The 22,204-nt window shown below is 42.0% G+C and overlaps 1 protein-coding gene across 1 annotated transcript in view, besides 3 other annotated features; it reads left to right on the forward strand.

The window, feature by feature from the left end:
- The window catches only part of DIP2B (disco interacting protein 2 homolog B), a 243,673-nt gene that overhangs the window by 94,961 nt on the left and 126,508 nt on the right, over window positions 1–22,204 (forward strand). The gene's annotated exons all lie outside the window — the stretch shown is intronic.
- Window positions 11,551–12,052: an enhancer, noted in NCBI's record as "H3K27ac hESC enhancer chr12:51005279-51005780 (GRCh37/hg19 assembly coordinates)". NCBI's record gives its function as "activates a minimal SCP1, AML or CMV promoter by ChIP-STARR-seq in naive and primed H9 embryonic stem cells {active_cell/tissue: H9 hESC(naive and primed)}" and the evidence as "EXISTENCE:reporter gene assay evidence [ECO:0000049][PMID:30033119]".
- Window positions 12,053–12,552: an enhancer, noted in NCBI's record as "H3K27ac hESC enhancer chr12:51005781-51006280 (GRCh37/hg19 assembly coordinates)". NCBI's record gives its function as "activates a minimal SCP1, AML or CMV promoter by ChIP-STARR-seq in naive H9 embryonic stem cells {active_cell/tissue: H9 hESC(naive)}" and the evidence as "EXISTENCE:reporter gene assay evidence [ECO:0000049][PMID:30033119]".
- Window positions 20,669–20,858: an enhancer, noted in NCBI's record as "active region_6361". NCBI's record gives its function as "activates an Ori minimal core promoter by ATAC-STARR-seq in GM12878 lymphoblastoid cells {active_cell/tissue: GM12878}" and the evidence as "EXISTENCE:reporter gene assay evidence [ECO:0000049][PMID:35858748]".

A 22,204-nucleotide genomic window follows, 5' to 3' on the forward strand; every position in this document is an offset into this window, starting at 1 on the left:
GTATTTATATTCACATTCAACTGCTTCCATTTCCTGCAGCTCAACTGAGCAGGGAAAAAAAATTGAAATATTGAGAACCTTTGTTTTTAATTAGTAAGCTACCTCAAATGTCAGAGATGGTGCAACTTTATAGAATCAGAAAGAACTATTTTCATGATGGTAAGTAATTAACTTTTACTCATTCAGAGTAGGAGACAAGTAAATTCAAGAATCATGTATGTTTGAATTATATCTCTGCCCCCTCAGTCTTTATAGATAAAATCAGGACAGTTGATTTAGACATCTTTTGACATCTCAAGTGATATCCAAAACCATCCCTGGCCCCTACCAGCTAGTGTTGGATGAGGACAAAATATTTTCTGTGAATTCACTTTTTAAATTATTTAACTGTGTTGATACTAGAATAAATTGATTCCTGTTCTCCACAGAAATGTCCTTGTTGTAGCGTGCATAAATGTGGGTATCAATAATACTTTGCAAATGAGAAAGACAAATCTACCTGTTATTCATAAACTAGAGGTACTTCAGGTGTTGGGAGTGAAAATCTGTTCACTGGAGGCTGGGTAGGGTGCACCTGGCCTGGGATTACTGCCTGCAAGATCATCTTTCCCCCTGTTGGACAGCTCAGGAAAACATTCACTTATCTACTGAAAGAGGTAGATAAGTTTTTAAATCAGTGGCTTGTTTTTAGAATGGTTTCTGTAAAATCTGGGTGTTGGTACTTATTTTTTTCCCCTTCCAAAAATTACCTTTTAAAGATGAATGAGTGAGTGGGAGAAGTCTGATATTTGCTTTAGTGATAAAGCCTAGAACATGTTTATGTTTCTCAATTCATTGATTTGCATAGCTATTTCCTCTTCCTGGAGGGCTCCCCCTGGAAACCTCTTCCCAAGATATCTGTAGGGCTGACTCCTCCTGGTCTTACCACCATCACCACCATGACCACCATCACCACCACCACCACCACCACCACCACCACCACCACCACCACCACTACCACCACCACCACCAGGTGTAGTTCACATCTCACATTCTCAACTGGGTCTGCTGGATTGCCTGCCTCACCCATTGGAAGCCCTCATCCCTGCTCTCTTTTTCTAACTTTTCCTTAGTGCTTTCTACCTTCTATCATTCCATATAATCTGTTTATCTGTTATGGTATAATTTGTCTTGTTCCTTCAATCTAAGCTCCACAAGGGGACCCTTGTCTGCTTTGGCACATCCCAAGTGCCTAGACCAGTGCCTGACTTTCGTAGCAGGCCCTCAGCATTGGCCAAATGAGGGATTAGTAGTAATGTGTGTTTATGTGTATAGTACAAAGTGCGTGGAACATGATGACCAGGGAAAGTCTTTTCATTTAAAGGGTGTTTGCTATATATATCTATATATTTTTTTGTTTGTTTGTTTGTTTTTTTTTTAGACAGAGTCTTGCTCTGTCACCCAGACTGGAGTGCAGTGGCGCGATCTCGACTCACTGCAAGCTCCGCCTCCCAGGTTCACGCCATTCTCCTGCCTCAGCCTCCTGAGTAGCTGAGACTAGAGACGCCCAGCTAATTTTTTTCTTTTGTATTTTTAGTAGAGATGGGGTTTCACTGTGTTAGCCAGGATGGTCTCGATCTCCTGACCTCGTGATCCGCCCACCTCGGCCTCCCAAAGTACTGGGATTACAGGCGTGAGCCACCGCGCCCGGCAGCTTTTTATATTTTATGTAAAATATTTTACATTTTTTTTTTGTATTTGGTTTTTATACTTTAGCCAGTTCGTGAACACTCCTCTTCCTTCTTTAGGCTGTTTTTGTTGGCCTTCATAATGTTTCTGTACATTCTTACTATATCTGGCTTTGTATTTAACCTGTTGTTTTTATTTTAGCTGTTAAATCTTACCCTATCTCATGCCCAGCTTCCAATGACCCCAGTCTGTTTGCATGGGAGTTTGGTGCTAGGCACCATCTTCACCCCTGTGTTCTGTGCTCCATCCAGTCCTGGTGTGCATAGTTATTGCTCCAGTTGTATAATTCAACATTCTCATTTTGTGATCAGAGAGCAAAAATTCTTTCTCATGTTATTAGCCACTCAGGGTTGAATTACAAAGGAACTCTTGGGGTTTTGGAAGTCCCGCTTGTCAGCTTTGGTCAGGTTCATGTAATTCAAACCTCAAGCTTGTATATTAATGTACTGAAGTAATTCCCACCTCTTCCCTCTTACGAATCTACTAATAGAACGAGATGTAGCAGGGCCTTGCACACTCACAAATGGTATAGTTGTACCAAAGATACTTATGTATAAGTTAATACATACATATCTCTTGGCAATATAATCAATATCTAAATTAATTTTTTTTTGAGACAGTGTCTGGTTCTGTTGCCCAGGCTGGAGTGCAGTGGTGTGATCTTGGCTCACTGCAGTCTCTGCCCCTGGGACTCAAGCCATCCTCCCACCTCAGCCTCCCTAGTAGCTGGGAATACAGGCACACACCACTGTGGCTGGCTAATTTTTGTATTTTTTGTAGAGACATGTTGCCCAGCTGGTCTCCAACTCCTGAGCTCAAGTGATCCACCCACATTGGCCTCCCAAAGTGCTGAGATTACAGATGTGAGCCACTAAGTCCAGCCTAAATTAAAATTTAATATTTAGGGGGCTGGGTGCGGTGGCTCACGCCTAATCCCAGCATTTTGGGAGGCCGAGGCTGGCGGATCACGAGGTCAAGAGATTGAGACCATCCTGGCCAACATGGTGAAACCACGTCTCTACTAAAAATACAAAACTTAGCTGGGCATGGTGGTGCACACCTGTAGTCTTAGCTACTCGGGAGGCTGAGGCGGGAGAATCACTTGAACCTGAGAGGTGGAGGTTGCAGTGAGCCGAGATCATACCACTGCACTCCAGCCTGGCAACAGAGTGAGACTCTGTCTCAAAAAAAAAAAAAAAAAAAAAAATTGGCGGGGCGCGGTGGCTCACGCCTGTAATCCCAGCACTTTGGGAGGCCGAGGTGGGCAGATCACAAGGTCAGGAGATTGAGACCATCCTGGCATACACGGTGAAACCCTGTCTCTACTAAAAATACAAAAAATTAGCCGGGCGTGGTGGCAGGCGCCTGTAGTCCCAGCTACTCGGGAGGCTGAGGCAGGAGAATGGCGTGAACCCGGGAGGTGGAGCTTGCAGTGAGCCGAGGTTCGGCCACTGCACTCCAGCCTGGGCGACAGAGCGAGACTCTGTCTCAAAAAAAAAAAAATAATAATATTTAATTTAATATTCACACATAACTATTTTTTCTCAAGCAAATGAGTGGTGACAGTTAAAAGTAGGCAAGGTCATGCCCTTTTTACACATAAGCAAAGAATATAGTGTTGCCTGTACTGTGTCCAGGTGTGAAAAGAAGACTAGGCAGGGTGGGAGGAACTGGGAAGAAAAAATATCACAGTGTAAGAAATGGACGCTTGGTTTAGTCTTAATCTTACTGCCTAGGCTACGCAAGTAAGGTATTTGAGAATTGAGTCTTTTAAAAAACATCTTGGCCAGTACGGTGGCTCATGCCTATAATCCTAGCACTTTGGGAGGCCAAGGCGGGTGGATTGCTTGAGCCCAGGAGTTTGAGACCAGCCTGGGCGACATGGTGAAATCCTACGTCTCCAAAAAACTAGCTGGGCATGGTTGCATGCTCCAGCTACTCGGGAGGGTGAGGTGGGAGGATCATTTGAGCCCAGGAGGTCGAGGTTGCAGCAAGCCATGATCATACCACTGCACTCCAGCCTGGGCAACAGAATGAGACCTTGCCTTTGGAAAAAAAAAAGACTCAAGTCATTTTGTGATATTTAGTGCAGAGAAGAGAAGGGAGAGGTATGACTTGGCCCACCATTTTATTTATTAGGAAGATTATTGGTTGTCTTTCAGGTTTTTAAGCTACTTATTCACCTTAGGTGATTAAAGCTCATTTTTCTGCTGAAGTTCTTTTTCAGAAACTGCTCAAGGATAAATTCACAATGATGAGAAAGCCATGGCCTGGTTCCAGGCCTTGGCTTGCTGAATTAGAAGAACACTTTGGGGAAATGCTGACCTTGGCATTGACCAGAGTACCAAATTCCTTTCTTGCATTGTTTTGCATCATGCAAGCTTCTGATGGATTGTACGCTCCTAGATAGTGATAGTGCATTCAACACTGTGCTATATACAGAATAAGCTTTTGAAAGAACCGAGAGCAGACAAGTTAGGCAATAATTATAGTACAAAAGGTTTTACTCTGAATCCTTTAAATAGCAAACTCTTTAATGTTCTTAAATATGATTGATTATATACAGTTTTTGAGAACCTAATGTATTAAATTTAATAAGGAAATTTGTTGGCAGCATGCAAGCATATATCCAACCTCATTTCATTTTCTTGTGAGCTAACGTTGTCAAGTGACTGTGTATATATATGCATTACATGCACTGTGTACATTATAAGTAAATAGCACAGTAGTAGACTTTTTTGTGGCTGACCTTTACAGAAGTTATCTTTTATTGATTTATAACTTGATTGCATTTTTTTTTTTGAGACAAAGTCTTTGACATCCAGGCTTCAGTACAGTGGCATGCATGTTCATGGCTCACTACAGCCTTGACCTCCCAGGCTCAAGCGGTCCTCCTGTCTCAGCCTCCTGAGTGGCTGGGACTGCAGGCACATGCTGCCATGCCTGGCTAATTTTTAAGTTTTTTGTAGAGTCAGGTTCTAGCTTTGTTGCCCAGGCTGGGCTCTAGCCATCCTTCTACTTCAGCCTCCCAGAGTGCTGGGATTATAGGCATGAGCCAGTACACCCAGCTTGATTGCATTGTTGACAGATGAAGCGATATGCCTGATACCAGTTCTTTGAATTTTTTATAACTTGCTTTATGATCTGGTATGTAGTCAATTTCTATAAATGTTCTATTTAAAAAGAATATATATCAATGAGAGTTCCACAGATAACCTCTACAGAAAACTGAGTGAACCTCTTCAGTTCTCCCAAGGATAGTACGTAGCCGGTATCACTTCAGATGCACAGGAGATAAGATACTCATTTTATGTAATGAGTAAAAAGACAGAAACATGATGAATTGCTTAAAGATTCTTATAAATGACTTGAAGTTTATATACACATACCCATTAATGTAGCCTGTTTTCTAGATGACAGTGTCTTTTGAACACCCCGATTTGATTTATTAAACTTTAGATGCAGTAAGGTTTAAAAAACCCCCAACTTTATTGAGGTATAATTCACGTATCATACAATATACCAATTTAATATATAATGGAATGTTTTTTAGTAGGTTCATAGTGTTATGCAACCATCACTGTGATCTGATTTTAGAACGTTTTTAGAACTCCAAAAGAAACCTCAGCCAGGTAAGGTGGCTCATGCCTGTAGTCCCAGTATTTTGCGAGGCTAAGGTGGGCGGATCATTGTAGGCCAGAAGTTTGAGACCAGCCTGGGCAACATGGCGAAATACAAAAATTAGCCATGCAGGGTGGTGTGTGTCCGTAGTCCCGCTACTGGGGAGGCTGAGCTGGGAGGATCACTTGAGCCCAGAAGATGGAGAATGCAGTGAGCTGAGATCACACCACTGCACTGCAGCCCGGTCAACAGAGTGAGACCCTGTCTCCAAAATAAAAAGAAATCCCATATTCATTAGCAGTCAATTCCCTTTCCCCCTACTCATCCCCTGGCAAACCTGAATCTATTTCTTTGTCTATGCATTTGCCTATTTTGGATATTTGATATAAATGGAGTCATAGAAAGTATGGTGTTTTATGAATGGCTTCTTTCACTTACCATGTTTTCAAGGTTCAGTCATGTTGCAGCATGTATCAGTACTTCATTCATTTTTCTCTTAATTTATTTATTTCCTGCTCTGCCTTTTCTTTTCTTTCGTTTTTTTTAGATGGAGTTTCACTCTTGTTGCCCAGGCTGGAGTGCAGTAGCATGATCTCGGCTCACTGCAACCTTCGCCCCCCAGGTTCAAGCGATTTTCCTAACTCAGCCTCCAGAGTAGCTGGGATTACAGGTGTGTGCCACCATGCCCGGCTACTTTTTTGTATTTTTAGTAGAGACATTGTTTCGCCATTTTGGCCAGGCTGGCTTTGAACTCCTGGCCTCAAGCAGTTCACCCATCTTGGCCTCCCAAAGTGCTAGGATTACAGGCATGAGCCACCGCACCTGGCCTTTCTTTTCTTTCTTTTGAGATGGATCTTGCTCTGTCACTTAGGCTGAAGTACAGTGATATCATCATAGCTCCCTTACAGCCACAAGTTCTGGGCACAAGTGATCTTCCCACCTCAGCCTTTTGAATAGCTATGGCTACAGGTGTGTGCCACCATGGCTGGCTAGTGTTTTTAGTTTTTGTAGAGATGAGGTCTCACTATGTTGCCCAAGCTGGTCTGGAACTCCTGGACCTCAATTAGTCCTCCTACCTTGACTTCCCAAAGTGCTAGGATTACCAGCATGAGCCACCACTCTTAGCTCTTCATTTGTTTTATTGCTGGATAATATTGCGAGGATATACCATGTTTTATTTATCCATTCATCAGTTGATGGACATTTGAGTTGTTTTTACTTTTCATTTACAATAATGATGCTATGAACATGGGTGTGCAAATTTTTCTCACCTTCAAAGGAGGTGGTTTTTAGCTGATCTTCATAAAATTCACTCATTCCAAAAAGGCATACAACTCATATCAGGACCCTTTGATTTGTAATTTTTTTCTGAGATTTTAATTTAATTTAATCTTTTTGATGGTCTCGCCCAGGCTGGTCTCCAACTCTTGCGTTCAAGCAATCGTCCCACTTCAGCCTCTTGAGTAGCTGGGACTACAGGCTCATACCACAATGCCTGGCTTCTTTTTCTGTTTTTTTTTTTTTCCTCTTGAGACAAGGTCTCATTCTGTCACCTGGGCTAAAGTTCAGTGGCACTATCTTGGCTCACTGTAGCTTTGACCTTCTGGGCTGAAATGATTCTGTCACCTCAGCCTCCTGAATAGCTAGGACAAGTGTGTGTCATCACACCCTGCTAATTTTTGTATTTTTTGTAGAGATGAGGTCTCACTATGTTGCCCGCAGTGGTAGTCTAGAACTCCTGGACTCAAGCAATCTGCCTGCCTCTGCCTCCCAAAGTGCTGGGACTACAGGCATGGGCCATCATGCTTGGCTTCTTTTTTTTTTTTTTGAGGTTTTGATGGTTGTTGGTGGAGTGGGTGGAGAGGGGAACTAACATTTATTTATTGAGTGTCTGCTTTGGACCAAGTACTCTGTTGGGAGCTTTGCGTAGATTATCTTCCTTAATCCTGTTAACAGTCCCATGAGAAAAGTGCAGATTTCCCCATTTTACAGATAGAAAAAAACAAGGACCCAGGAAACTTAACTAACATATCCAAAGAGACATAGCTAGTAAATGATAAGCCAGGTTTGGAACCTAGATGTTTCTGACTTCCACAGCATTACACAGATATGGAATGGAAGATCTAGACATTTTTAAACATTAAGACAAATTTTGAAGATAATCTCATTACTTATTTTTTATCAAATCAAGTCTTTCCTGTGATTTTTCTTCCTTTCCTTTTCTTGACAGCATCCCCTTTCTACTACTGAAAAGAAGGCCAGTGCTCTATCAGCTATATATTCAGTGGTTTTAAGATCTTTCGGCTAAGGTCAGGGTTTTTGTTCAAACACAGTCTTGCTCTGAAGTGTAATAGAATATAATCAGCAAAAGCAGAGTGGTTGAAGCTTGGAGAATTTCCTAAAATTACTAATAGCTGTAGTACAGCAAGCTCTTAGTCTGAAAACAGAGGAAACACATCATTCCTCACACAGTTTGCTTGTTTTCTGGGTTTTTTATTTGTTTGTTTGTTTTGTTTTGAGATGGAGTCTCAGTCTGTCACCCAGGCTGGAGTGCAGTGGCACGATCTCGGCTCACTGCAACCTCTGCCTCCTGGATTCAAGTGATTCTCCTGCCTTAGCCTTCTGAGTAGCTGGGACTGCAGGTGTGCGCCACTACGCCCGGCTAATTTTGTATTTTTTGTAGAGACAGGTTTTTACCATGTTGGCCAGGCTGGTGTCAAACTCCTGACCTCTGGTGATTCGCCCATCTTGGGCTCCCAAAATGTTGGGATTACAGGTGTGAGCCACTGCACCGGGCCACAATTTGCTTATTTTCAAATAAGCTGTAGTCTTTCAACAATTAGCAAATTAGTATTTGGAATTTGTGTCCACCAATTATTTTTAACTGATAGTTTATTTAGATAATATCTTGATGGGGAAGTCTTAGCATATCAAATGGTTGCTGTTTTAACTGCAAGAATAAAAAGAAACAAAAATGCAATTTAGAAAAGCCATTTTGATTATGCTGAAAACTTACGTGGAAACAGCATCTATCAGAAATAGTAACACTAGGTGCGGTGGGTCACACCTGTAATCCCAGCATTTTGGGAGGCTGAGGTAGTTGGATCACATGAGGCCAGGAGTTCGAGAGCAGCCTGGCCAACATGGAGAAACTCTGTTTCTACTGAAAATACAAAACATAGCTGGGTCCACGTGGTGGTGCGTGGCTGTAGTCCCAGCTACTCTGGAGGCTGAGGCAGGAGAATTGCTTGAACCTGGGAGGCAGAGGTTGCAGTGAGCTGAGTTCGTGCCACTACACTTCACCCTGGGTGACATAGCAAGACTCAGTCTCAAAAAAAAAAAAAAAGAAAGAAAAGAAAAGAAAACAAATAGTAACACTAGCACAGTCTATCGATCAACTAGTTCAACACTCTTAATGCGTGTTCCTAGATAATTTTACATTAGTTTAAAAGTTTCTTTGCAATACTCTGATTTCAAAGAAGTAAACCATATTTACTTTTGTAAGAATCCAGCCTAGAACAAAATTTCATTTATGTAAGCAGAAGCAGTGCAAAAAATATTTATTAGCCGGGCATGGTGGCTCACGCCTGTAATCCCAGCACTTTGGGAGGCTGAGACGGGTGGATCACCTGAGGTCAGGAGTTCGAGACCAGCCTGGCCAATATGGTGAAACCCCATCTCTACTAAAAATACAAAAATTAGCCAGGTGTGCTGATGGGTGCCTGTAATTCCAGCTCCTCAGGAAGCTGAAGCAGGAGAATCATGGAGGCAGAGGTTGCAGTGAGCCGAGATTGTGCCATTGCACTCTAGCCTGTCTGACAGAGCAACACTCCGTCTCAAAAAAAATAATAAAAAAAAAATTATCAAGAGGATTAACAATGAAAAGTTTATAAGGGATTTGTATCTTCTACATAAGAGTTAAATTAGCTTTTAAAAGTTTTAGTACCATGGTTTATGGTTCTGGTGGAGACACCAAGTAGCAGCAATTATTTGTTGCCACTTGACTGAAAATTGTCTCATTTGCTTTGTATTTGTTGGACAATGGGTTTAAGTACATGTAGTGAAGACCCCAAATAACAGGTACTTAAAACAAGATAGAAGTTTATTTCTAGGTCATGCCATGGTCTCAACTAGTACAGCAACTCTGCTTCATGAGGGTATTGGGCAACAGGCCCTTCTACCCTGTTCCTTCATCATCTACTGGTCTGGCTCTTCACCCTTTGTCCAATATAGCTGATTACCACATCCCATTTCACCCATTGGGAAGGGAGAAAGAGAAGGGAAGATACACCCATTCCATTTAAGAGCAAGATCTGGAAGTTGCACACATTCTTTCTGTTGATATCACATTGGCCAGACCTTAGTAATTTGACCGTACCTACCTATGAGGGGACTGGGAAATGTCATCGTCTTCTGAGTAGTTGATTGCCCAGCTAACCATCCTATTGTGGAAGATAAAAGAAGAGATAGGATGGACCACTTATCTCTCTTCAAATCCCTTGGCACACAAACTGCTTGTGGTTGTCTTTTTTTCTTTTACGCTTGGCTTTTATAATGATGTGTCCTGTTTCATGTTCTGTTAAAACACCATGTTCATAATTGAACAAAAACTTCATCCTGAGAAAACTGCATTACAAGAACATTTGTTATAACTAATAAAGGAAGTAAGTAAATCATATTCCAAATTCACAATGCCAAAGTATTTTTAATGCAGGAATTTTAATAAAGTTTTTAAGAATTCTGCAGATACAGCTATAACACCTAAATATAAATGACCAAACCCAACATTTGATTATTTCTAGCTTTTATTCTAGAATAATGATTTTTAAAATTACTACTATCACTGTCACCCTAAGGAATGGTTAGACTGCCTAATATCACATTTCCATATGTTGATAGCCTTGGAAGTATGTTATTTTTTCATAATATTCAGATGTGTGGTGATATTTGTTTGGGGAGTGATGGCAGGCAAAGAATGGTGGGTAGAGTTTTTTTGTTACTAGGAGTAGTGTTTTTTTCCTTTTAATTGCTAGTTTTGATTGTGATTAGTACAATGAGTGAAATACAGGAAATATCTGCTGGAACTCTGAAGTATTATTCCTTGCATTGTTGTCTTTGCTATTTTAGGATAAGGAATGTGTTGTTTCACCCCCCTCCTCCAAGTGAAACTTCAGGAAAGTAAAATTTTCTTTAGTGATATTGGAGATGTAAATATCTTTTTTTTTTTGGAGACAGAGTCTTGCTCTGTACATCCAGGCTAGAGTGCAGTGGCGCCATCTCGGCTCACTGCAAGCTCCACCTCCCGGGTTCACGCCATTCTCCTACCTCAGCCTCCCCAGTAGCTGGGAATACAGGCGCCCGCCGCCATGCCCGGCTAATTTTTTTGTATTTTTAGTAGAGATGGGGTTTCACCATGTTAGCCAGGATGGTCTTGATCACCTGACCTCGTGATCTGCCCGCCTCAGCCTCCCAAAGTGCTGGGATTACAGGCATGAGCCACTGTGCCCAACCTTTTTTTTTTTTTTTGAGATGGAGGCTCGCTCTGTTGCCTAGGCTGGAGTGCAGTGGCGTGATCTTGGCTCACTGCAACCTCTGCCTCCGTTCAAGCAGTTCTCTGTCTCAGCCTCCTGAGTAGCTGGGATTACAGGAGCCTGCCACCACCTCCAGCTAATTTTTTTGTATTTTTAGTAGAGATGGGTTCCACCATCTTGGCCAGGCTGGTCTTGAACTCCTGACCTTGTGACCCATCTACCTTGGCCTCCTAAAGTGCTGGGATTACAGGCGTGAGCCACCGCGCTTGGCCGATGTAAATATCTTTAGGGGGATAATAGACACACAAATTAAAGAGAGAAAGGATTGTATTATCAGCCAAGTCAAAAGTTTTATCTCCTAAACATTGGCGGATAGGTGTTTATAAAATTGCAAGTCATTTATAAGAATCCTTAGGCAGTTTGTCATAGTTCTTTGTTTCACTCTATTTTAAGTGCTTTCTTGCCTGCTAAAGGATATCAGCTCTTGTACTACCGAAATGCCCTGGACAGCTTTCTGTTACAAATTTATAGCTGCGAGATCATTTTTATTCTTTTTGGTTGCTTCTCCACCCTTCCTTGAGCCTCTATTCCTAAGAGTGTTATTAACGTTTAACATTTATTCTTTTGCTGAGGCTGCATTGAGGGGCGTGGGTTGTTTTTATTTAATCTTTAAAAATAGTAACCACCAGCTAGTTATTTAAAATTTTGCCAGGAAAAGAGGAACCAGAAGCAGCAGCTGACTGTCTTTGTTGACTGTGTGATCCAGAGCAGACCCAGTGGATTTGGGAGCTCCCTTTCCCTCCCCACCACTGCCTCCAGTGGTTTTATTCTCTTTTTACCTACCCCCAGTACTAGATCCCTTCAGTCGCTCTTTCACCCCTGAACTTCCACCACCACCATGTCCCCCAAAGCCATTCCCTGGACCAGCAATAATTTATTTAGTCTCTGCCCCTCTCTCGGGCTTTTAGCAAGAAATGCCCAAGAAAACTTCAGTTTTAGCATTTTCTTTACAGTCTTCTATATTCTTGATCACTTGTCGTTGCTTTTGTCTTTATGTCTAGGTGCAAAGTAAGAAAAGAAAAGCAGATACAGGCCAGGCGTGGTGGCTCTTGCCTATAATCCCAGGACTTTAAGAAGCCAAGGCAGGAAGATTGCTTGAACCCAAGATCCCGCCTCTAAAAAAGAAAAAAAAAAAAAAGCAGATATCTTGGCCAGGGGAGGTGGCTCACATGTGTAATCTCAGCACTTTGGGAGGCTGAGGTGGGTGGTACCCCATCTCTACAAAAAATTAGCAGGGCATTGTAGCATGCCCCTGTAGTCCCAGCTCCTCAGAAGGCTGAGATGGGAATGGGTCAAGGCTGCAGTGAGCTGTGATTGCACGACTGCACTCCAGCCTGGGCCACAGAGTGAGACCCTGTCTCGAAAAGAAAAGCAGATAGGGAAATAGGCAAGGAGAATTAGCCTAGGAGGAACCTTTACACCCTCCTGAGGGCCCTTCTGTGATTTCTTTCAGCATTCTTTCCTTTTGGAATCGTGTTATTTCTTCTTGAGGGTGACATCTTCTGCCCTCCCAAGATGAATTCTGAGTATATTTTTCATAATAACTTTTTTTTTTTTTTTTTGAGACAGTCTTGCTCTGTCCCCCCAGGCTGGGGTGCAGTGGTGCCATCTTGGCTCACTGCAACCTCTGTCTCCCAGGCTCAAGTGATTCTCCTGCCTCAGCCTCCTGAATACCTGAGATTACAGGTGTGCGCCACCATGCTGGGCTAATTTTTGTATTTTTATTAGAGATGGGGTTTTACCATGTTGACCAGGGTTGTCTTGAACTCTTGGCCTCAAGTGATCTGCCCGCCTCGGCCCGCCAAAGTCTTGGGATTACAGGCGTGAGCCACCACACCCAGCCTTTCCCATAATAACTTTGAAAAGTTATAGAAATTAGGCTGATAATACTGCACAATTATTTATTCAACAGTATTTATTGCTGATTGGTTGATTACTGATTAATAAATACTTGCTAGCCTGGATCATTGCTTCCTTCCATCCTCTTTTCCTGTTACACCCCAGCTCTATGTTATTCAAACCATCATCTTTCTCCCAGGCACTACTGGAGACAGTCACTAAACTGTGGAACATAACTAAAAACATTCTGTTCTCCCGTCTCCCTTGACTCTCAGCACTGCCTAGCACAGCATGTGCCTCCCGTTACTGTAGTGGCAACTCTGAATATCTTTACGCAAACCCTCTCTTCCAACTCTTCATTCCTGTCACAAAGACCTTAGAGAGGCAGCACTGAGAGGTAGGTAAGAGTTTGGATGCTGGAGCCAGACCATCTGCTTTGAAGCTGTCTCTCACAGTGTTGTGTCCTTGTGCAGGCCAGTTAATTTCCCTGTGTCTCACTTTCCCATCTGGAAACTGAGACTCATAATACTCTTCCATGGAATTGTTTTGAGGACTATATGGATTAATGTATGTGATTGCTTAGATGAATGGTACCTAGAACGAAATAGGCAGTGAATGAATGTAGAAGGGAAAATAGACAAGAAAACCTTTACTCTGATTCCTGTGCAGAAAGAAATTTAGAGGTCATTAAGCCAGAGTCCTGTCATCTTCTGTCCTCACTCCCAGTGCTCCAGCACCTACCTATACCTCCCTACCGATCCTTACCCTTTTTCGTAGAGAAAAGGTATCTCTAAAGTCCTGCAGTGCTTTAAACCTTTGATACATCCTGACAAACACAGAAAATGATAATATTTGTTCAATACAGTGGGGTAAAAAGAGTGCCTGTTTGAGGTGACTGGCCCAAGGCTTTCAGTTCCCTGAAGCTCAGCTAAACTGCCCTAAGGGACTGAGTATTAACATTTCCACACCCATAAAGCACTCACAGATCAGCGCAGATACCACATTCCCAGCCCATGTTGAGAAGCCCTGGCCCTAACCACTGACAACACTAACCCTTATCGAACTTGTAATTAAATCATTAATTATAGAATTCTTTTCAGATGTCTATGCTGGAAGAAACTATAAACTTCATCACTATGCCTATAAATGTTGGGCCCATGTCCCACTAAAGTGGTGGCTTGTATGTAGGAAGTTCTTAGTGTTTGTTGGTAGAATCGGTATCTTTCTAATAGCTGTCTTTGTAACTTACATATTTGTCCATCTTTAAGAAAAAGAAAAAAATAAAACTCACCTGCTTTGACTCTAGCCTTCTGTAATACTACCCCATATCTCTTTCCCTTTTTAACAAAACATTGAAAGAAGGAAATCTATTGCTGTCATTTCACCTCTTACTCATTCTTCAGTGTCCTAAATAATCTGTTTTCTTCCTTCACTGTTCCTTTAAAACTGTTCTTAACTGGGCTACTGATGATCTACCTGCCAAATCCAGTAGTTATTTTTTGATCCTTATTTTATATTTGTGACAGTGTGCACTCATCTTCTCCTCTCTGCCTCCATTTTCCTCATTCTCTCCTGGTCTCCCCACTGTGTGTCATCATCGTCTCCATTTCCTCTGCCTGTTCTTTAAATGTTAGTTTACCCCAGGATTCCTTTTCTGGTTGCCTTCTTTCATGCTGCATTCCTTCTGGGTGATATCATTCACACCCAAGGCTTCAGCTACCACCTCCTACGCTTGATGGTTCTAAAATCTATATATCCATTCTAGAGTTTCTCTCTCCTGTTGCCTGCTGGATATCCTCCCTTGTTTTTGACTTGCCATATGTAACAGTGCCAGACAAATGGCATTCATCCAACGTTGAGCTAAAGCAGTCTTAGAGCCCATGAGATCCTTATTCCTACAGATGAAGAGACTGAGGCCCAGAGACGTATAGTGGCTTGCCCAGTATCAGATAAATAGTTTGTAACAAAATGGGGAGGAAAACCTAAGTCTCTGGACACTGGGACTTGAACACAAGTTTATAAACCTATGCCAAACACAGAATGGTGATGTTTACTGCCTCATTGGAAAAACCCTTTTCCACTTTGGCCTAAGCGACCTGCTTTTGCGATCCCCATGCTGTGGCAGTGGCAGTATTCTCCTTACTTGTGTTTTTCCCTGTCCATCTTTGGTTTCCAGAGCAGTATGAATTGGCTACCAACAAAATTCTTCATCTCTTTAAAAGCTTTCACTTTTTTTGCGCCTGCCAAAGGAGATACTTAGATTTTGATCACTGTTAATTTTATCTAGACTATTGATAAAGAATGCCTGGCACATGCACCATTTAATTCAGATTCAGTGATTGGTATAGATACTATTACTTATTGCCTGGTTTTTAAAAATTGCTCCAATTGATGCAAGAATAAAAGCAGAATAGTTGGAAGATAACTAGCTGTTAACACTAGAAACAGTTTTCTAATCTTCAGAGAAAAATTACCAAGATAAAGGGGGAAAGAAGAAGCAATAATGAAAATTACTTTTCCGCACCCCCTCCCCCGCCATTTCTTTTTTTTTCTAGAAGTTTGGCAACATTCATAATTAGATGCACGTAGCACTGTTTTGTGCATAATAGCATGGTTTATTTACATACATTTACATATATGCATTTTAACTGATCTCTGCTCATTTCTGGTTTAGATATTTGTATACTCCTCTTTGAGACATCAGTTTTCCTTCTTTTAGGCCCTTAGCATCCAAAGGCACTAACTTTGTTGGCTCTTAGTGCTGAGTCTAGTACCATGATCTGAGTCTAGCACTGTGGAGCAACTTTAGTGATACTTGATGCGTTGTATCTTATTTTTTTAAAAGAGAATTTACCAACCCAGAATTTTCTAGATAATCCTTTTAAAGATAGTTATTCTTAGGACTTAAGGGTGGGGTTGGGGCTGGGGAGTTGTCAACTAAAACAAGTTGAGTATGTGCTGTGTGCCAGGGACTTTTGCATTTATTCTCTCATTGAAGACTCATCATAAACACTCAAGGTAGGAGTTATTCCAGTTTTACCTATTAGGAAACTAAGGCACAGAGTTGTTAAGTAACTTGTCAAGAAGCAAGTAAAACAGCAAACTCAGCGTTCGAACCCAGATCTGTTTCATGCTAGAACCCGTGCTCTTTCTATTGACTGAACCATCCCCTGGATTCCTCCTGTCCCTTTGACACCTCAGGTCATTTGTAGAGCAAACTTCTTCTTTGCAGGCATGGTTTTTCTAAGTGGACAAATAAACATACCTTTTGCATTAGATGGATTAATTTAACCAGCGCCTGATGATGAGACTTACAGATCATTTTCTCAGTGTTTTACTTTGTTGCTTTTTGTTTGAACTTGCTTGGTGCCTTAGGTGAAATACCATTTGTAAGAAGTCACATATGTTTGACCTAGAAAACAGGGCTGTGCAGCCAAAGCAATTCTATGGTTTGTGTTTGAGGAGAAAGCAGTCTGTGCTTATTCTCTAGTTCTTGACATGGAAATTGTCTAGTCATTGTCCTAAATGAGGTGAGAGGATCTCTACTGAGAATGGAAATTTGAATGTCCTAGAGTTAATTTCCTTGAAAAACCGTTTGTAAGATTAGCAAAGTTGAGTTAAAACTATAGCTTTTATAGACTGCCGGTTGAAGACTTTTAGAACCACTTATTTTATTCCAAAAAAATTAGATACAATAAAAATTCTCATCTTCTTTCAACAGATTGTAGTAGTTTAACAGAGCTTTATTTCTGGCTAAACTATGAAAATGTTATGTCTTTTTACTCTTTTCATCATAGGATCAATTCTACCTCTGTGTAGAAAGAAACTACAGAGAGTTTTTAAAATAATTCAAGGTTGTAAATTCTTTGGAGTCCTGTTGGACACTTTCAGTAAGAAACAGCAAGAGAAATAGGGGAAGACAGAGGCCAGGAGCTGGTTTAATTGTTAAGGTCCTTGTTTTGTATGACTGTGAGCTTCATTTTGTATGTTTGTGAGCCTTTCTAGATCACCTCTGGAAGGAGGATATTTGAAGATGGGCAGCTGCTATATATATTGCATTGGATGGAATTATCATTATGAAGAGAACATGATAAAATATAATAATGAAATTTTTGTCTTCTAGCCAGCTTCTCCTGGATAGTATTCACATCCTCTGCCTTTTTCAGCTTTGCTTTAAGATTGCTCTCATTCACATTCTCAGCTATATTTTTATCTCTTTCTCTTTATTTGTCTACTTGTATCCCTCATGTATGAGTAGTGATAACCCTAGTCTTACTCCCCATCTCCAGCCATAGCCAACATGAACCACCTTCCTGGTCTAAAATTTACATTTAAAGGATAGAATAGGATGATTAGGTTCAGGTATAGATTTGAAGATGTTGGCCATATTCTATGTAAATGAATATTTAGTAATGATGTATAATGATCTTTTTGCTTTTTTTTTTTTTTGAGACGGAGTCTCGCTCTGTCACCTAGGCTGGAGTGCAGTGGCGCGATCTCGGCTCACTGCAAGTTCCACCTCCCGGGTTCATGCCATTCTCCTGCCTCAGTCTCCCGAGTAGCTGGGACTACAGGCGCCCGCTACTACACCTGGCTAATTTTTTGTATTTTTAGTAGAGATGGGGTTTCACCGTGTTAGCCAGGATGGTCTCAATTTCCTGACCTCATGATCCACCTGCCTAGGCCTCCCAAAGTGCTGGGATTACAGGCGTGAGCCACCGCACCCGGCCTTTTTTGCTATTTTTAAAACACCAGTTGGACACAGTTTCCACAGTTGGCTGTCTGGTTTAAAAGATGAAAGGGGTCAGGGGCAGTGGCTCATGCCTATATTCCCAGCACTTTGGGAGGCCAAGGCAGGTGGATCACTTGAGGTCAGGAGTTGGAGACCAGCCTGGCCAACATGGTGAAACCCTGTCTTTACTAAAAATACAAAAATTACCCGGCAGTGGTGGCATTTGCCCATAGTTCCAGCTACTTGGAAGGCTGAGGCAGGAGAAGCACTTGAACCCCAGAGGTGGAGGTTGCAGTGAGCCAAGATTGCACCACTATACTCCAACCTGGGCAACAGAGAGAGACTCCATCTCAAAAAAATAAAAGATGAAGGAGATTAAAAGAGACAGTTCAGCCAGGGTCCTGTTGAGGAGCAGAATTGTTAATACATTTTCGAAAGTCATCTGTATTTTGAAGTGATTCATAGTAATTGCTTATGTTGTTTGTTTATGGACAACAGGTTTAATTTTTTTAAATTGCATCTGATTTAGGGGCCACCTACAAATAACAATGGACAAAGAACAGCAAGAAAAAGGCCAGAGATTCTAGTCTAGCTTAGGCAAGACATTTAACTTTTCACATCTCAGTTTCTTGTTCTCATGAAGGTAATGCTTTTTCCGTTTATTGAAGAAGGTTTTCAGCCAAATCAAATGAATTGATGTCAGAATGTTTTGAAAAGTTAAAGAATAAAAAATTTAAAAGAATGTTAGATTGGTGGTGGTGTTATATAGTGCCATTTTTTGAAGAGTGAAGTAAATTGATGGGTCCATGAGGTGACTATCAACCCTCAACGTCAAGTGTCTGAGGATTTCGTGGTGAGGCACAAACGGCCAAGTCCTACCTCAGGTTAGGCTGCAGGAGTAGCAGCAGGGCCATCTCTGTTCATCGGTGATTGAAATTACAGCTTCTGTGTCTGTTGTTCCAAGCATGCCACTCTTTTCCAAACTCTGGGTTTGATAAACTGTGCATTCACCCTCAGTGTCTCTCTCTCCTGACGATCATCCTTCAAGACCTAACCCAAGAGCAACTTTTGTGATGTTTTCTCAATCTTTCTGAAGTAGAATTTGGAGCGTCTCTGTAAAAATGAATATATGGTGGTGTTTAAGAGCAGGGGCTCTGGAGCCATTTCTGCCTGGATTCAAATCCTGATCACAGCACTTACTAGGTGTGACTGTAGGCAAATTGCTTAAACTTCTGTGCCTCACTGTCCTCACCTATAAATTGAGAAAAATGATGATAATATCACCTGATAGGGCTGTTGTGAGGCTCTTGGAACAGAGACTGATACATAGGAGGCCCTTGATAAGTGTTATTTTACTTATATGTTCTTATCGAGTATTATAATTTTCATTACCATTCTCTCCTTGCTCCCATGGGACTTTGCAAATAATCTTGAGTGTAGCACTTGTACTTTTATTGTAATATTTGTTTAGACTGGGAACTCCTTGAAGGCAAAGATACTATTTTATTTGTCTTTGTTTAATGACCTGCATATCATCCATTCAGTGCTCAAAAATGCTTTTCTTTCCTTCCCAAAGTCCCCCCACCCTCTATCACCACCCCTGACTGCATAGCTGTGACTTTAAAGCAGGGTTGCATGGCATATGCTCTTTTATTTCCACTGGGGCAGAAAGTTTATGGCTGCAGCTGTAACCCTTGCTCTCTGTCCATTAAGACTGCTCCCGATAGAAAAAGTTATACATATGACTTGATGACCCTCCAGAATTTTTCAGATGTTGTGTTTATTTAGCCCCTAATTGCTCAAGGTACTGCACAAGGTCATAAATGAAAGTTACTTAGCATTGCCACATTTCTTGGGAGATAGGAATCCTGAACAACTACCAAACATGGCCATGCCCATACAGAGCCAGTCAGCAGCAGAGTACAACTAGCAAACCACTAAGTGACTGTATCGTTAGGAATTTATATCACCTTTCTGATAAGAGAATGAAAAGCCAGACCCAAACCAAATGTCGTCTGCTCCGTGAAGCATTCCTTTCCCTACTCAGGCCAAGATCGTGATGCTTCCTTCTGGGTTCCAGAAGGTGCTGCATTTGTGTACGTGTCTCCCATGGCGCTTAATTATAGAGTGTTAGTCATGTTTGTTTGCCTGTGCCTCTTCTCTGCGACATAATTGTCCCCACTTGGCCAGTAGGGTAGGCTTTTAGTAATGTTTGTTGATGTTATTTTCCATAGCCCAGACCCTATATTTTAAATCACAATGAAAACTTTGCAAGGGAGAGACTGTTCCCCATTTCACAGATGTAGAAACTGAGGCTCTGCTGAGCGCATTGGTTCACACCTGTAATCCCAACACTTTGGGAGGCCAAGGCAGGAGGATTGCTTGAGCCCAGGAGTTTGAGACCAGCCTGGGCAATAGTGAGACCCTTGTCTCTATAAAAAAAACTTTTTAAAAATTAGCTGGGTGTGATAGCACACCCATCTGGTCCCAGATACTCAGGAGGCTGAGGCAGGAGGGTCACTTGAGCCCACAAGTGAGCCATGATCATGCCACTGCACTCCGGCCTGGGTGACAGAGTGAGACCCTGTCTTAGAAAAAGAAAGAAACAGATTTATCAAGAAATAAAACTTGTCTAGAGTCCTTTTGCCTCAGATGTGGTTCTGTCTAGCTCAGACCCTTGAGCTCTTCACCACAGCAGTGTCACCCACCTGACTGGTGTAAATACACACTAACTGCTCACTACTTATGCGACTGTTCTCCCTACCACCTTGTGGCTTTTAGGAGGCTTGGGTGGCTGGCAGGCTCACGCACGCCTCCTCACAGCCCTCTCTCAATCAACTTGAAGATGATTTGTGGGCCACTTGTGCCAAGCTGTTTTCATTGATCCCAGGTGGTGAGGAAAGAAGTTGGAAACATAAGTCCTTTATACTCAGCCTCACACATGTGTCTTTCTGTATGTCTGCTGCTGGCTGCTGAAGACTGTGGTAATTCTGATGCAGCTGGACAGTCTCACAGCGTGTGGGTCGCAGACTCGCCACGACCATTCTCTTGTTGGTTTAGGTCAGTGTCTTCATACAAGGCTCTATGCCTGCCTCCACTCCTGCCAAGCGCTGCAGGCACCTGGACAAAAGACGTTACTCTAGTGGGAGGGGAAGGCTAATCCTCCCTGTATTTATTTCTCAAAAAAACTTGAACAACAGGTTTACCTTATATGCCATTTTAATGCAAATTTTATATAGGTATCATTATGATTCTCCTTTTTGTTCTATATGCCAGATGGCAAAAAGTCTGTTCTGAGTAAGAAAGCCTGTGGTGTGACTCAGTGTCTGAGCTCCAGAGGTTCTGTGCTCTCCCTTGTGGCTGGATAGCCCAGCCAGCATTCTTCCCCCTCCTCCCAATCAGTTCCCTCCTCACATTCAGTCTGCAGAACCATCCAGCATACACCAGACAGGATTCCTCACTGCAGCAATTTCCAAACTTGCCTGGCTTTAGGACTCATTGGAAGATGCTTGTTAGAAGTAGAGATTTCTGGATCTTAATCCAGACTTAGTGCATCAGAGTCTCCATGGGAGGGGTCTGGGAATTCGTATTTTTGCAAGTTCCTTGGGAGAATCTTAAAAATTGGACAAGGTTGAAAAACATTGCTTTAGTGCAGCAAAATCTGTGTAAGTACAGGTGGTGAGGATGATTTAAGAGCACAGACTATAAGTGGTGGCAACCACAGAAATGTGAAATAACAGATTCTCACTGATTTCTTTCTGTCTGGTCTTGCCCTCTAGCTAAGGGATGTATCTATATCTGGCTTGGAGTTCTTAGCTTTTAGTGCCTTGTGATTTATATATTATTCCTCTCTTCAGGCAGTCCAAGCATTGCTTTTTTGTTCACCTTTAAGATCTAGCTGTCAAGTTTCGGTAAACTTCTGGTCCACTAAATTCCATTCCCTGAGCCTTTCAGCTCTTGCTAAAGAACTCTTTTTCTCCCATTTCTAGTTTTCCACCAAGTACACATGTCTGTTTGATTTATTATTCTCTCACTGCCTCCATTTTATTAATTCATTCAGTCACTTGTTCAACAAGCGTCTATTGTGCCAGGCTGTGGGTGGGCTACAGTGATAAACAAGACACAATCCCTGCCCTCAAGTGCACAGTCTAGTAGGGAGACATGGGGTGTAAACACATAATTAAAATACCAGTGGGTGCTAAGTGCTATCACAGATATGTATGCAGATTTGTAGGCGCACTAGGAGGAAGTAGTGGAAGGCATCACAGAGGGGTGACTTTTGAGCACAGGGTCTTGTAGTCAGAAAACGGGGAGGGGGAGCATTTTAAAGATACTGTAGGCCTAGCATTGTAGTCCTCGCATTCTCACTGCAGCTCAGCTTCTTCCAGGTCTCCTTAATTTCTTTGCTCGTTTGTGGATCTGATGGAGCTAATTGGCATGGCTGAACTAGACTGTCTTGATTGACCTCTTTCAAAACCTGAGGTGGTTAGTAGTTGATTAATATCCAGGATGCCAAATCTAACAGATTGTCCCACGATCATTTACTGACATTGCCTGACTGAGACTTAAGCACTGAAGAAAGCTTTTTAAAGGCCTTTCACTTTGTCACTCTGCCAGATGTGTTCTGAGCCATCAGAAGTGGCCTTTGTGCCAGGGTAGGGGGTGGAGGTAGGAGATCTTGTGAGTGGCGAAT

Source organism: Homo sapiens, chromosome 12 (assembly GCF_000001405.40).
Source record: "Homo sapiens chromosome 12, GRCh38.p14 Primary Assembly".
NCBI classification, from domain to species: domain Eukaryota; kingdom Metazoa; phylum Chordata; class Mammalia; order Primates; family Hominidae; genus Homo; species Homo sapiens.